The sequence below is a fragment of the Homo sapiens genome, chromosome X (genome assembly GCF_000001405.40).
Source record: "Homo sapiens chromosome X, GRCh38.p14 Primary Assembly".
Lineage (NCBI taxonomy): Eukaryota > Metazoa > Chordata > Mammalia > Primates > Hominidae > Homo > Homo sapiens.
Window position 1 is genome coordinate 64205741 of NC_000023.11, and position 14606 is coordinate 64220346.

Sequence of the window (14606 nt, forward strand, 5' to 3'; positions counted from 1 at the left end):
CCATACCCCCTCCCCCAGTACTCCAAGGCCACCGGGTGGGGCATCTGCGTCCTGATTGGCAGGCATATGGCCCAATCGCTATGGTGGGAAGGCGTGCCCCGGCCCGCCCACTGTTTTCCTTGGTGCGTTTCTCTTTAAATGCAAATAAGTGCAGGCGTGGTGTTGGCAGGGGGCGGAGAGGGTGCGGAACCACTGGCTGGGGCTCCCCACTCCCGCCCCCACGCCGGGCTGGTAGTGGCGTGGCTACACCGTGGCCTCAAGGAGCCAGTCCTGCCCGGATGGGGCTCGCCGGATCGGTTTCGGTTTTCACGCACTCCCATTTCTGTGGCCGCTGTGCATTCGCGGTACTGTGCCCTGGCCGCCACCAGGACGTTTATTCCTGAGCTAGAGGCCGGCGGGGAGTAACGAGGCAGAGAGGTTGAGGAATCTGGGAAGACTGCAGAAACCTAAGGGCCGGCCTATCCTTAGTCGTAGAGACAAGGCCCTGCGGATCGCGCCGCCAGGCCACCCAGAGGAGGGACTCACCTGCCAGGAAAGCTAGCTGCAGCGCCTGCGCCCTAACTTCGTCCGCCTCTCTGGCACACCAGTGCCCTTAGAGACCATAGAGGCCAACTTCCACCCGTTACCGACGGGCCCTCTGCTGCCCAGAGTGGGGAAAGTCCCTCCCCACAGTTACCCAGCCTGCCGGCGACAAGGGCCAATTTGGAATCCAGAGCCCCGGGCTCCCTTTCCAGGATTGCTTTCACTTTTCTTCTCTGAGATGATACCTGTTTCCATAGTTTGACCCTCACCCAAATTTCGCACCTTCTATGGAATGTGGAGGGAATCCCCAAGGTCTCCAGAGTCCCCCTTCCCCCATCCTTTGTGAGCCTGGCTTTCGGCAGGCCTTTTTCCTTGAAAAGTCTAAATATTGAGAGGAAAATCTTGTCTGGGCCCAAACCGGAGGTCAGGCTGAGGACAAAGTGAGGAGGCCTGTACCAGCCTTGTCTGCTACTGTGTGTGGGATGTGGCAGGGAGCCCGGCGAACTTGGGTCTCTAGCCTAAGGACATTAAGTGGCATCAGTGGCTGCCAGGGCCAGGTGAGCTGAGGCAGCAAAGAATCTAGTTCCACCACTAGTTCAAGAATATCCAGAAGGCCCAGCCCTAAAACTCTGTGTGTGTCTAAAAAGGGAGGTGGGTGGATTAAAGCTGAGGATAGAGAGAAGGATTAGAGAACAATGCGTGCTATTTTTGCATTGCAGGAGTGTTCTCTGCTGCTTCTGGGTCCTGACAGTCTTGAAAAGATCCAGCTGCTGAACTGGTAAGAGGTGGACTGCTGCCTCTGCATGTGTAGAGCACAGGAACTGACATGGCTGCTAGGGATCTGACTCTAGCTCTACCTCAGACTTGCTGGACACCTTGGCCAATTCATTTTTTTCTCTGGGCCAGGGCATCACCCCACCTCCACAAGGAGAGGGTAAGCATCATCAGGCTCCCTTGATATCTTTGAGATCTGACAGTTCAACTCATTTTTTTCTATAATATTCCATGATCTTCCACGGAATATTATAGAAAATATAGATGTTCCATGACCTTCCATGGCATTCTATACATTGCCAACAAAAATCAATATTGAACATCAGACTCCCATCCTAGTACTGAGTCTAAATAAACGATGAGGAGTAGGGAGCTGCTGCTGGCTCATTATGCAACTTTTTTCCCATCTGGATGGCTGGACTATAAAAGTTTCCCTGGGGCTATGCTTTCCTGCTTTGCAAAGTCCTGATTCTCATTTGTGGGCCTGATTTGGAAGTTTATTTTCTTTTCCAGAATCTCCATTATAGACTTCCTCCCTACCTCGTGCCTCTGGTCACTGCCACTTGCTCACATTTCACTCAGAACCTTGATTCTTTGAATTAGACTAAGATTATGAGAAGGCAGTTTGCAAACCTGGGGTCCAGGGAAACAAAGGGCCAGAGCAGTCTCAGTTGTGGAAGCAGGGAGAGAGGAGGTGTGCAAAGTAGTCAGGTGGCAGGCTTGAAATAGTCCCAGGCACTATTGTGCTGCTCCTGTCACAGGGGCTAGTCTTCTATGCCTTCTGCCCAGCCACCAAACATTCTGTCACACCAGTCAGTTTTTGGAGTGACTAGTGTGGGAGGAACAATTCGTGAGAAATTGAGCTAAACCCAAAAGAAATGGGGCTTCAGGAAAAAAAATATTCTTTGTGATCCTAGAGAACTCCCAGCTGAGCACCCTTCTTTATGGTCCAGATATTACTGAGTCTTGGGAGGATACTGTATGTGTGTATTAAAGGGGAAAAGATGTGGGAGGGGACAACACAGCTTCTTGTTTGCATAGCTCACTTCTCTCCAGGGACGATGTATGGAAAGACCAAGTGTGTGCATAAACTTGCACCTCAAAATGCCTCCTCATAGAGAGAGTACTGTAAGACCCCATTCCACATGCTGACTGACACGTGGTCAACTTGCTTAGTCAAGACAGGCACTGGTTGTGAGGAGCTGGAAATCTTTCTTAAGTTTGTTTACCTGCAAAATGGAGATAATCCTCGTGCTGCCTAGTGTCTTGTGGCTGCGGTGAAAAGCCCATAAGAACAGATGTGTGGGCTGTGTGGAGGCAACTTCATAAACTCAAGTAGACACATCATTACAGGGCACATCATTACAATGCTCATTTCTTTCTTCACCAAGTATTCCATAGTCATTTCCTCTATGCCAGGCCTGTTGATAGTTATTGGGAGAAGCAGTACAGTGTTAACCTTTTTGAGGCACCTGGGTATGGAGTTCTGAGAGGAACTGAAATCTACACTAGAGGTCTGGCAAAGGTGTTCTGGAGCATTGCAGATGAAGAGACTCCTTCTCCCCAGGGTGGCAAGGGGTATCAGAGAAAAGTTCTATGGAGGATAGCTTTGACGGTTGGGTCAAGTCAGAAAAGTAGGGGAAGGATTCCTGCCCAAGCCAAAGCCCATCAGTGAGAGGGTATGGTGGGTTGGGCAAGAGCTACAATTCTGGATGGCTGTGGCTAAGTATTTGTGTGGTGGGGAGAGGAAGAGCTGGACATTAGACTAGAAAGAAAGGCCTGGGGCCAAAGTGTAAAAGACCATGACTGCCTGGGTAAATTGAGGCTCAACTAGCTAAGTTCATCTTTTCCAGGAAAGTGGTATGTTGTAGTGGCTCTGCCACCAGACTGCCTGGGCTGGGATGTGAAGCTTGCCACTTAGGAGCAGTATGATCTGGGCAGGTCAATTTACCTCTCTGAGTCTCAACATTTTTTTCTGCAAAATGAAAATAATAGCACCCATGTCAGAGAATTGTGGTAAGAATTGAGTAGTCCATATGAAGTGGCACAGAGGCTAGTACATAAGATGGTATCAATAAATGTTAGTTACTGATGCTGTTATTATTATTGCTATCCTTCTGATCCAATGTACAGATCTTCAAAGTTATGGAACTGCTAATATGACTTTGAAACCAGTTTTTGTTTTGTTTTTGGTTTTTTTTTTGAGACGGAGTCACGCTCTGTCGCCCGGACTGGAGTGCAGTGGAGCGATCTCGGCTCACTGCAAGCTCCGCCTCCCGGGTTCACGCCATTCTCCTGCCTCAGCCTCCCGAGTAGCTAGGACTACAGGTACCTGCCACCACACCCAGCTAATTTTTCGTATTATTAGTAGAGGCGGGGTTTCACTGTGTTAGCCAGGTTGGTCTAGATCTCCTGACCTCATGATCCATCTGCCTTGGCCTCCCAAAGTGTTGGGATTACAGGCGTGAGCCACCACACCTGGCCGAAACCAGTTTTTAATATAAACACACATGAGCCTATGATTCCTTATGAACAGACTCACTTTATTGTGCAGACCCAGACTCAGTTTCCCAGGGCAGAATATTTTGTTCATCTTCATATCCTCAGCACTCAACAGAGAGTTTGGCAGAAACTTGTTGATGAGTATGTATTTACTGAACATGAAATGAGGCATTTTCAGGCCTAATATCAAGCTTAAGTGCCAGCATCCACCAATGAAGTGTGATGTTACCACTCATTGGGCATCTCCTTTGTGCCAGGCCCTGTGTTAAGTGACACACTCATTACCCAGAATGATGGACTACACACAGCTTCTGGTCTCAAGGGCAACCAGTCTAGTGGAAGAGGAAGAAAACTCCTGAGTTTCTTACTTGGACAAGGGACTGCTGGATGGTGTTGTCATCCACTGAACTGAGTAATATAGGAACAGAATTAGGAAAATGTGGCCAGGTGCGGTGGCTCACGCCTGTAATCCCAGCACTTTGGGAGGCCGAGGTGGGCGGATCACAAGGTCAGGAGATCAAGACCATTCTGGCTAACACGGTGAAACCCCGTGTCTACTAAAAATACAAAAAATTAGCCGGGCGTGATGGCGGGCGCCTGTAGTCCCAGCTACTTGGGAGGCTGAGGCGGGAGAATGGCATGAACCTGGGAGGCAGAACTTGGAGTGATCCTTGATCGCTCCACTGCACTCCAGCCTGGGCGACAGAGCGAGACTCCGTCTCCAAAAAAAAAATGATTTTGTTTAGGACATACTGAATTTGACTTGTCAGAAATCCCACCTCAGGGCCTTTGCACTGGCTGCTCCCTCTGCCTACAGTGTTTGTCCTCTGAATATTGGCATAGTTTGCACCTCATTTCCTTCAGGTGGCTGCTCAAATGTCATTAATAGTGACACCTTCACTGAACAGTTGATATATAAAATAGCAATCCCCATTTCCACCCCCTTCACTCTCCAATTCTTTAATAGGCCTTTTTTTCTTATCCACAGCATTTACCACCTCTTGGTATATTTTTTATTGTTATTTATTTTAGAGTCATTTTTAAATTTTCTCTTTCTTATCATGAAAATGGAAGCTCCGTGAGGGATAGACAATGAACAAATATATACATAAAATATACAGTAGGTCAGATGGCAATAAATGTGATGGATATCCTGGGGCAGTGGCACATGCCTGTAGTCCCAGCTACTTGGGAGGCTGAAGCAGGAGGATAGCTTAAGTTCAGGAGTTCTGGGATGTAATGCACTATGCTGATAGGGTGTCTGCACTAAGTTCAGCATCAACATGGTGACCTCCCAGGAGCAGGGGACCACCAGGCTGCCTAAGGAGGTATGAACTGGCCGAGATCAGAAACGGAGCACATAAAAACTTGCATCTTGATCAGTAGTGGGATTGCGCCTACAAATAGCCACTGCACTGCAGACTGGGCAACATAGTGAGACCTTGTCTCTTGAAAAAATAATGTGATGGAGAAAAATAGAGCAGGGAATGGGTATAGGCAGTACTGAGGGGTGCTGTTTTAAACAAGGAAGTTGGAGAAGGTGATATTCTAGCAAAGACCTAGAGGAACTGAGAGAGCAAACCATGAGGATATCTGGAGGAAAAGCATTCCAGGTAGAGAGACCAGTAAATACAAAGTTCCTGAGGTGGTGACATGCTGAAATGTTAGAGGAGCATCTAGGCAAGCCAGTGCACCTGGAACACAGTGAGTGAGGAGGAAAGTGGTAGGAGAGGAGGTCAAAGAGGACATAGGGAAACAGACAATGTATAGTTTTCTGAGTCATTTTAAAGACTTTAGATTTTGCAGGATTTTGAGCTGAGGAGTTACATGACCTTAGTAAAACATTTAGGGAGCTATAGCAACAAAGGAAGAAGCAGAGAGGCCAGGAAGGAGGCACTGATAGTGATCCATATCAGAATAGAGGCAGTGGAGGTGGTGGAAACTGATTGGACTCTGGATGTATTTGGAAGATAGAACTGGCTGGACTTGGTGTTGACACCTTAGATGAATGATGTGAGGGAAAGAGAAGAGTGAGGAATAGAAGCCCACAAGGCCCGGAGAAAGAGGGATTGGCAATGTGAAACCAGAGCAAAGAGAACTGGCTCTCCTGGAAGCCAAGTAAAGTACTGGGATTTTATAAAAGACAGAGTTACCAAGAGTGTATGTGTCAGATGCTGCCCAGAAATCCAGCAAGATACAGGCAGAAAAGATGCCATTGGTTGTGGATCTGGCAAGTCACTGGTGATATGGGCAAGGCCAGTTTAGGACAGAGCTGTAGATATACACCAGACTGCCCTGGGGTGTCAAGAGAATGGTCTGTGAGAAAAGGGAGAATGTATACAGCTTCCTTATTCTAGAAGTTTGACCGCAAAGATGTGGTAGCTAGAGGGGGCCCTGGTGTTCAGGTTTGTTTTTACAAGATGGAAGGATGTGAGTTTGTTTATGTGCTGAGAGGAAAAGAAATCAATCAAGTAGAAGATACAGGAAACAAGGTAATTGATGGGTGGGGGCTACGGGTGGGAGTGGGGGATGGAATCCAGAGCCCTTACAGATGAATTAACCTTTGCTGGGATGAGGGATCAAGACAAGAGGGAAAAATGGGTGGACTCAGTAGAGTTTGTTGTTATGGAAGGTTGAAGATGTCACTCCTTATGACCTCTACCTGCTCTGGGAGGAAGGAGGCAAAATTCCTAGTTGACAGTGAGAGGAAAAGCAGTACTAGACGGAGGTTCAAGGAAGTCTGTTAATATTGGACAAGGTTTGAAATAGCCACTGCAGACAATGGGCTAGTTGGTAAAGGTCCAGCTAGGCTGTCACCCAGGAATGTATAGCCACCCCATTCTGTAGTTTTGTGACATCCTGCTTCCTAGCTGTCTGACCTAGAGCAACTTCACTTAGCCTACTTAACTTCACTGCACCTGAATTTCCTCATCTATAAAATGGGCATGAATAAAACAAAGCCATTGAAATAAATGAGTTAATCCATGTGAAGTGATTACTGAGGACACTGCCTGGAACATATAAGTGCTTGATGGAAATCAACTCTTTAGAGTTATTTTTATTTTTGATTGACAAATCATAATTGTGTACACTTATGGGATATAATATGATGTTTTGATATATGTATACAGTGTGGCATGATTAAATCAAGCTAATTAACATATCCATCACCTTGTTTACCTGTCATTGCTTTATGGTAAGACATTTGAAATTTACTCTCTTAGTTACTTTGAAATAAATCATGCATTCTTATTGACTATAGTCACCCTCCTGTGCAATTGATCTCAAAACCTATTTCTCCTGTGTATTAGTCAGTGTTCTCTAGAGGGACAGGACTAATAGGATATATGTATATATGAAAGGGAGTTTATTAAGGAGAATTGACTCACACGATCACAAGGTGAAGTCCCACAATAGGCCGTGTGCAAGCTGAGGAGCAAGGAAGCCAGTCCGAGTCACAACACCTCAAAGGTAGGGAAGCTGACACTGCAGCCTTCAGTGAATGGTGAAGGCCTGAGAGCACCTGGCAAACCACTGGTGTAAGTCCAAGAGTCCAAAAGCTGAAGAACTTGGAGTCTGATGTTCTAGGGCAGGAAACATCCAGCACAGGAGAATGAGGAAGGCTGGAAGATTCAGCCAGTCTATTCCTTCCACGTTATTCTGCCTGCTATATTCTAGCCGAGCTGGCAGCTGATTAGATTGTGCCCACCCAGATTGAGGGTGGGTCTGCCTCTCCCAATCCACTGACTCAAATGTTAATCTCTTTTGGCAACACCCTCACAGATACACCCAGGAACAATACTTTGCATCCTTCAATCTGATCAAGTGGACACTCAATATTAACCATAAGTCCACGCCTTGTCGACTTGAACCCATACACATCTCCTGAAATCATATATAATCTTTAAATAAAGACAATAATAATGTCAAAATTAAGCCTAACATAATACAGCTATCCTTTGTACAACCGGAAGCTGACTAATCCTTAGCCGAAATGCTATTACATAAAGATAACAACACTTAAATGCTGATAGGAAGTCAATAAATCTTATGTCACATGATGAAGGAAAAAGAAAGGAAATAAAGTGAAGATATTCTCTCAGTACAAGTGTATACATACACAAACATGTTCTTAACAAAATAAGGAGGAAATACTCATGACAATTACAGTCCTTATTTCTGCAACTGGTCTGCAGCTGTTATTGATGACTATAATCTTCTAATACCCATTTGGCATCCCCTTTGCCTTCAGCAAGCAACTCAGCAGGTCGTGGTTTTGTACTGGTGGAGTGACCCAAACTTCCATTCCTGAAGGGTCTGGGCTATTTGTAGTCCTGCCTGGATTGTGTTGTTGTAGTTTCTCATTGACCTTAATCACAGGGTATGGTAATACTAAGAGATGCCCGAAGGGACCTCCTGTATTCCACACATACTCTTCCTTACCTCCGTTGTGGAGTAGTAGACTGATTTCATCTTGATAGTCCAGGTCATTCACCCCAGCCAACATTGGAACTCCCTTCTTAGCCTGTTGACTTAGAGGTAGGAGGAGCCCAAAGTGTCCAGGTGGCAATCTTAACTTCCAGTTTAATGGAATCATTGTTGTGCCTCCTAGTGGCAGTATTCCTCCCTCTGGAACTAAGACCTCTAGGCCAGTAGAAAGTAATGAACATGAAGCAAAAATTTTGTTAGTGGGTCACTAGGGGTGATAGTGAGTGGTGCTACTTCCACCCATTGATGACTGAACCCTGTGAATCCTGGCTATGAGAGGAACAGTACCATATATATTGGACACTGATTTAGAGTATACACAGCCTTCTGGAGAATTTTGCCCCAGCCCTACAAAGTATTGTCACCTAGTTCGCATTCTACTTGTGACTTCAAAAGGCCATTTCACCGTTCTATCATTCCAACTGCTTCAGGATGATGGGAAACATGGTAAGACCAGTGAATTCCATGAGCATGAGCCCACTGTTGCACTTCTTTAGCCATAAAGTGAGGGTCTTGGTCAGAGGCAATGCTGTGTGGAATACCATGACTGTGGATAAGGCATTCTGTGAGTCCACAGATGGTAGTCTTTGCAGAATGGTTGCACACAGGATATGCAAACCCATATCCAGAATAAGTGTCTGTCCTGGGGAGGACAAACCACTGCCCTTTCCATGATGGAAGAGGTGCAATATAATCAACCTGCCACAGAGTAGCTGGCTGATCGTCCAGAGGAATGGTGTCATATGGAGGGCTCAGTGTTGGTCTCTGCTGCTGGCAAATTGGGCACTCAGTGGTGGCTGCAGCCAGGTCAGCCTTGGTGAGTGGAAGTTCTTGTTGCAAAACCCGTGCATAACCTCCATCCTTGGCACCACGACCACTTTGTTCATAGGCTCATTGGGCTATGATGGTGGTGGCTGGGGAAAGAGGCTGAGTGGCGTCCACAGAATGAGTCATCCTATCCACTTGATTATTAAAATCCTCCTCCGCTGAGGTCACCCTTTGGTGAGCACTCACATGAGATACAAATATCCTCTTAGTTTTAGACCACTCAGAGAGGTCCATCCACATACCTCTTCCTCAAATTTCTTTGTCACCAATTTTCCAATCATGCTTATTCCAAGTCCCTGACCATTTAACCAAATTATTGGCTATAGCTCATGAAACAGTAAAAAATCACACATCTGGCCATTCCTCCTTCCAAGCAAAGTGCACAACCAGGTGCACTGCTCCAAGCTCTGCCCACTGGGAAAATTTCCCTTCACTGCTGTACTTCAGGGATGTCCTAGAAAGGGGCTGCAGCTGTCCACTTTCGGGTGGTGCCTGCATATCATGCAGAACCATCTGTGAACCAGGTCCTAGTCTTCTCTTCCTCTGTTAACTGATCATAAGAAACTCCCCATGAGGCCACTGGTGCAGGCTCGAGGAGAGAAGGCAGGGTGGCAGGAGTGGGGACCATGGACATTTGAGCCATTTCTTCATGTAACTTACTTGTGCCCTCAGTACCTGCTCAAGCCCAATCTTGTATATACTACCACTTTCATTTGATGATGGAATGCTACTATGCATGCCCCACTTTATGGATAGATGGGTCAGAAAGCACCCAGTTCATGACAGGCAGTTCAGGTCGCATGGTGACTTGATGACCCAGAGTCAAAAGTTCAGTTTCCACCAAAGCCCAGTAACAGGCGAGGAGCTGTCTTTCAAAAGGAGAGTAGTTATCTGCAGAAGATGGCAGGGCCTTGCTCCAAAATCCTAGAGGCCTCCACTGTGATTCACCTGTGGGGGCCTGTCAAAGGCTCCAAAAAGCATCCCTATCTGCCACTGACATTTTGAGCATCATTGGATCTGTAGGGTCATATGGCCAAAGTGGCAGAGCAGCTTGCACAGCAGCCCGGACCTATTTCAGAGCCTTCTCCTGTTCTGGACCCCACTCAAAACTGCTAGCCTTTCAGGTCACTCAATAAATGGGCCAGAGTAACACACCCAAATGAGGAATGTGTTGCCTCCAAAATCCAAGTAGGTCCACTAGGCATCGTGCCTCTTTCTTGGTTGTAGGAGGGGCCAAATGCAGCAACTTATCCTTCACCTTAGAAGGAATATCTCAACAGACCCCACACCACTGGACCCCTAGAAATTTTACTGAGGTAGAAGTTCCCTGAATTTTAGTTGGATTTATTTCCCATCCCTTGGCATGCAAATGTCTCACCAATAAGTCCAGTGTGTTTGCTACTTCTTGCTCACTGGATCTAATCAGCATAAGGTCATCAATGTAATGGACCAGTGTGATATTTTGTGGAGGGGAAATGTGATCAAGATCTCTGTGAACAAGATTATGGCATAAAGCTGGAGAGTAGGTATACCCCTGGGGTAAGACAGTGAAGGTATATTTCTGGCCTTGCCAGCTAAAGGCAAATTGCTTCATATGGTCCTTATGGACAAGAATGAAGAAAAAGGCATTTGCCAAATCAAAGTCTGCATACCAGGTACCAGGAGATGTGTTAATTTGCTCAAGCAATGAAACCACATCTGGTATAGCAGCTGCAATTGGAGTCACCATTTGGCTAAGCTTATGATAATTTGCTGTCAGTCTCCAAGATTCATCTGTCTTCTGTACAGGCCAAATAAGAGTGTTGAATGGGGTTGTGGTGGGAATCACCACCCTGCATCTTTTAAGTCCTTGATGGTAGCACTAATCTCTGCAATCTCTCCAGGGATGTGATATTGTTTTTGATTTACAGCCCTCACCCTACCAGCTAACGAACCAATGTGGGGATTCTGCCAGCTGCTAGGTATGTCTATGCCAATTATGCATTCATGTACTGGGGAGTTGACCATAGGTTGAGTCTGGGGACCCACTGGACCCACTGTAAGTCAGACCTGAGCTAAAACTCCACTAATTACCTGACCTCCATAAGCCCCTACTTTAACTAGAGAACCACAATGACGTTTTGGGCCCCCTGGAATCAATGTCAGCTCAGAGCCAGTGTCCAGTAGTCCCCCAAAAATCTAATAATTCCCCTTTCCCCAATGCAGTTACTGTGGTAAAAGGCCAGAAGTCTCCTTGGGGAAGGATGGGAGAAAGATTAACAGCATAAATTGTTGGTATTGTAGTTGGGTCTTTCCTCAAGGGGATTCGGCTTCCCCTTCATTCAAGGGGTTCTGGGTCTGTAAACTGGTTCAGGTCTGGAAATTGATGGAGGGGCTGTGATTCTATATTTTTACAATTCCAATTAGTCTTTTGTCCACTTGACCTCGAAGTTTTCTGCTCCTACAAATTAAGAAAGAATGCAGTAGGCTTTCTATCAATTTCATTTCCAGGAATACCGTGTTTAATTGGCCAAAGCCAGAGCTCTGCACAAGTCAGACTATTCTGATGGCTGCTTTGCCTTGCTCTCCATTATGGTAACTACACCCATCTTGCCTTTGACGGTTGAGTGCTGCCACTTGACCCCTTCCACCTCAGGATCCAATTATTCCCATTGCATTTAAATTTTTCTAATTTAGTTACTGCGGTTCCCAATGTAAGATCTGGCATACAGAGAAGAGCAATCACAGAGCTCTTCAAGGATGCAGGTGTTCCCATCACAAATCTGTTTCACAAACTACTGGTGAAGGGTATGTCTTCTGGATCCTCCCAGCTGGGATGAGTAGGTCTAAAGTGATTAATCCACTCTAGCATTCCAATCCTCCTAAGCCTTTGGATCCCTTCCTCTATAATAAACCAAGGGAGATCAGGCATTTCCAGCTTGCTCACAGTAGGCCATCTTTTGATCCATATTTCAGCTAACCAAGCAAATAAACTATTAGAACGTTTATTAACTCCCCAAGCTGCAACATTAAATGCAGGATCCCTGCTTAGTTGGCCCATATCAATAAATTCAGCCTGATCCAACTTTATGTTCCTTCCACCATTATCCCACACCCTTAGTATCCATTCCCATGCCTGTTCTCCAGATTTCTGCTTATGTAAATTAGAAAACACAAGCAGTTCTTTTGGAGTGTGTAGTGCACCTCCTTGTGTGTCACACTCTAAACCTCATCTCTAGGGTCTCGCTGGGACTTGAGTCTAGTTATAGGACTAGAAGCAAACAGCGGTGTTGCGGGTGGGTCCTGAGGAGAATCAGCATTGTCTTGCCTGACAAGTGCCTCAAGGGAGGACATTACTGTTGCCTCAGGAAGTTCATGGTTAATCTCCTCAGACAAAGTTGGGAAGGCTGATGGCAACATGGGTAGGGAGGGGATCTGGCCACCACTGGGGGTAAGCAGGCTGTTTTCTCTGGCAAAAAAAGGATAATCACAATTTAGGGGCTCAGTGCCCGCAGCCTCATCAGGGTCCTCCCACATGTCCTCATTCCAAATTGCAGGGTCCCACTCTTTTCTAATCAGTGTCCTCACTTTAACAATAGACACCTGGTGAGGCTGCGCATGCACCTTTCATTGCAGGTCAGCCACTCGCATGACAAGAATTTGTGTCTGGTTTTACACAATTTCAGCTGTTTCTCTATAGGAGATAAGACTCTCACTCAGGGCAATCTTAGAAGATTTGAGGATCAGTATGTACTTCTGGGGCTGAGAGTTAGAATCCCTGAGTTCATCATTTTCTTTCATCATTTTGTCCAGTTAACTTAGGAGCAACCAACCAACATTATTATATTACTTGGTTCTCCACATATGGTCAAAGGTATTATGTATAGTCACTAAACTCCTTGCCTCTCACAAGCAGTGAATCAGGAGTATCAAATGTGTTTATTTTGCATAACTCTCTAAATAGTTCACACCAAGGACTATCAATGTTCTCCATACTATTAGAAGTAGAGTCCTTAGCATTTTGGGTTCTAATCATATTAAGCAGCCAACCCCAGAAACCCCAAAACCAACTAAAGAACTCCATCCTTAATATTCTGTTTCTCTAGAACCACCCCACATCTGGTACCAAAATCTGTAATAGGGTTCTCTAGAGGGACAGGACTAATAGGATATATGTATATGTAAAAGGGAGTTTATTAAGGAGTATTATTGACTCACACAATCACAAGGTGAAGTCCCACAGTAGGCCTTGTGCAAGTTGAGGAGCAAGAAAACCAGTCTGAGTCGCAACACCTCAAATGTAGGGAAGCCAACATTGCAGCCTTCAGTCAGTGGCCAAAGGCCTGAGAGCCCCTGGCAAACCACTGGGGTAAGTCCAAGAGTCCAAAAGCTGAAGAACTTGGAGTTTGACGATCGAGGGCAGGAAGCATCCAGCACAGGAGAATGGTGAAGGCTGGAAGACTCAGGCAGTCTATTCCTTCCACGTTCTTCTGCCTGCTTTATTCTAGCCGAGCAGGCAGCTGGTTAGATTGTGCCCACCCAGACTGTGTGAGGCAGGGTCTGCCTCTCCCAGTCCACCGACTCAGATTTTAATAATCTCTTTTGGCAACCACCTCACAGACACACCCAGGAACAATACTTTGCATCCTTCAATCCAATCAATTTGACACTCGATATTAACCACCACATCCCGTTTATCTGAAACTTTGTACCCTTTGATGAATAATCCCCCATTTCTTTTCCCCCAAAGTCCCCCAGCCTCTGATGACCATCATTCTTCTCTCGATTATTTAGATTTCTATGATGATTAGTTATTTCTATTTCTTCTATAGTGTTCCTTAGACCAGGCTTAGGAGAGGACAACAACTTGATCCAAAGTTAGTGTGGAGACTGAAGTGACTGAAGACAGAGTCAAAGATGGACAGTGAGGGAAGGGAAGACAGGGGAGAGGGGAAATGCAGATAAATTAGGCTTGTGTGGTGCCTGAAATGCAGTTCCTGGCACAGAATAGGTACTCAATAAATATCTGTTGAATAGATTCTGTGGAATCAAACCATAGAGTTCCAGGAATGTAACTTCTGGGAAAGCAAGCAATTCTGACTAAAAAGGGGAACCTGCATTTCCAGGTAAGGCCAAGGATACTAAAATGGAGAGTGAGGGGTGGTACAAGAGTCAAGAAGGTGAAGGAACTGCAAGCCAGAGCATTGGAGGTATCACTGGACCAGATTCTGCCACCAGCCTAGCCTCTGATTTTCTCCAGGGAAGAAGCAGCCTACTTGGAGACTGGCAAAGTAGGAGCTAACAAGTAGGCTAGTAGCTGGAAGTTAATGTCTTCTGTGCCTGTAGGTGGATAGAGCTCAGAAGATACCAGGATGAAACAGATGGTCATTGGCTTGACTGTTTAGGAGCAGGGTTTCCTCAAGGCTGAGGGAACAATGAAACCCCATTAGAGTTTGGAAATAACCAGCAAAGTAGAATCGGGGCCCCTCTGATCCCTAGGCAGGGAGAGGGAG

At 46.0% G+C, this 14606-nt stretch overlaps 1 protein-coding gene and 1 pseudogene across 2 annotated transcripts in view, besides 2 other annotated features; both read left to right on the forward strand.

Moving 5' to 3' along the window:
- Window positions 115–214: a silencer, noted in NCBI's record as "silent region_20878". NCBI's record gives its function as "represses an Ori minimal core promoter by ATAC-STARR-seq in GM12878 lymphoblastoid cells {active_cell/tissue: GM12878}" and the evidence as "EXISTENCE:reporter gene assay evidence [ECO:0000049][PMID:35858748]".
- LOC112268307 (uncharacterized) overlaps window positions 206–14606 on the forward strand; it is a 106617-nt gene continuing 92216 nt past the window's right edge. For both annotated transcript variants that reach the window (XM_047442705.1, XM_047442706.1), the window contains exons 1-2: window positions 206–344; window positions 1242–1300. In XM_047442705.1, coding sequence (XP_047298661.1) covers window positions 279–344; window positions 1242–1300 — 125 coding nt within the window. In that variant the 5' untranslated portion in view covers window positions 206–278. The remainder of the gene's footprint in view (window positions 345–1241; window positions 1301–14606) is intronic.
- Window positions 345–504: an enhancer, noted in NCBI's record as "active region_29708". NCBI's record gives its function as "activates an Ori minimal core promoter by ATAC-STARR-seq in GM12878 lymphoblastoid cells {active_cell/tissue: GM12878}" and the evidence as "EXISTENCE:reporter gene assay evidence [ECO:0000049][PMID:35858748]".
- On the forward strand, window positions 4951–5248 carry RN7SL799P (RNA, 7SL, cytoplasmic 799, pseudogene; annotated as a pseudogene).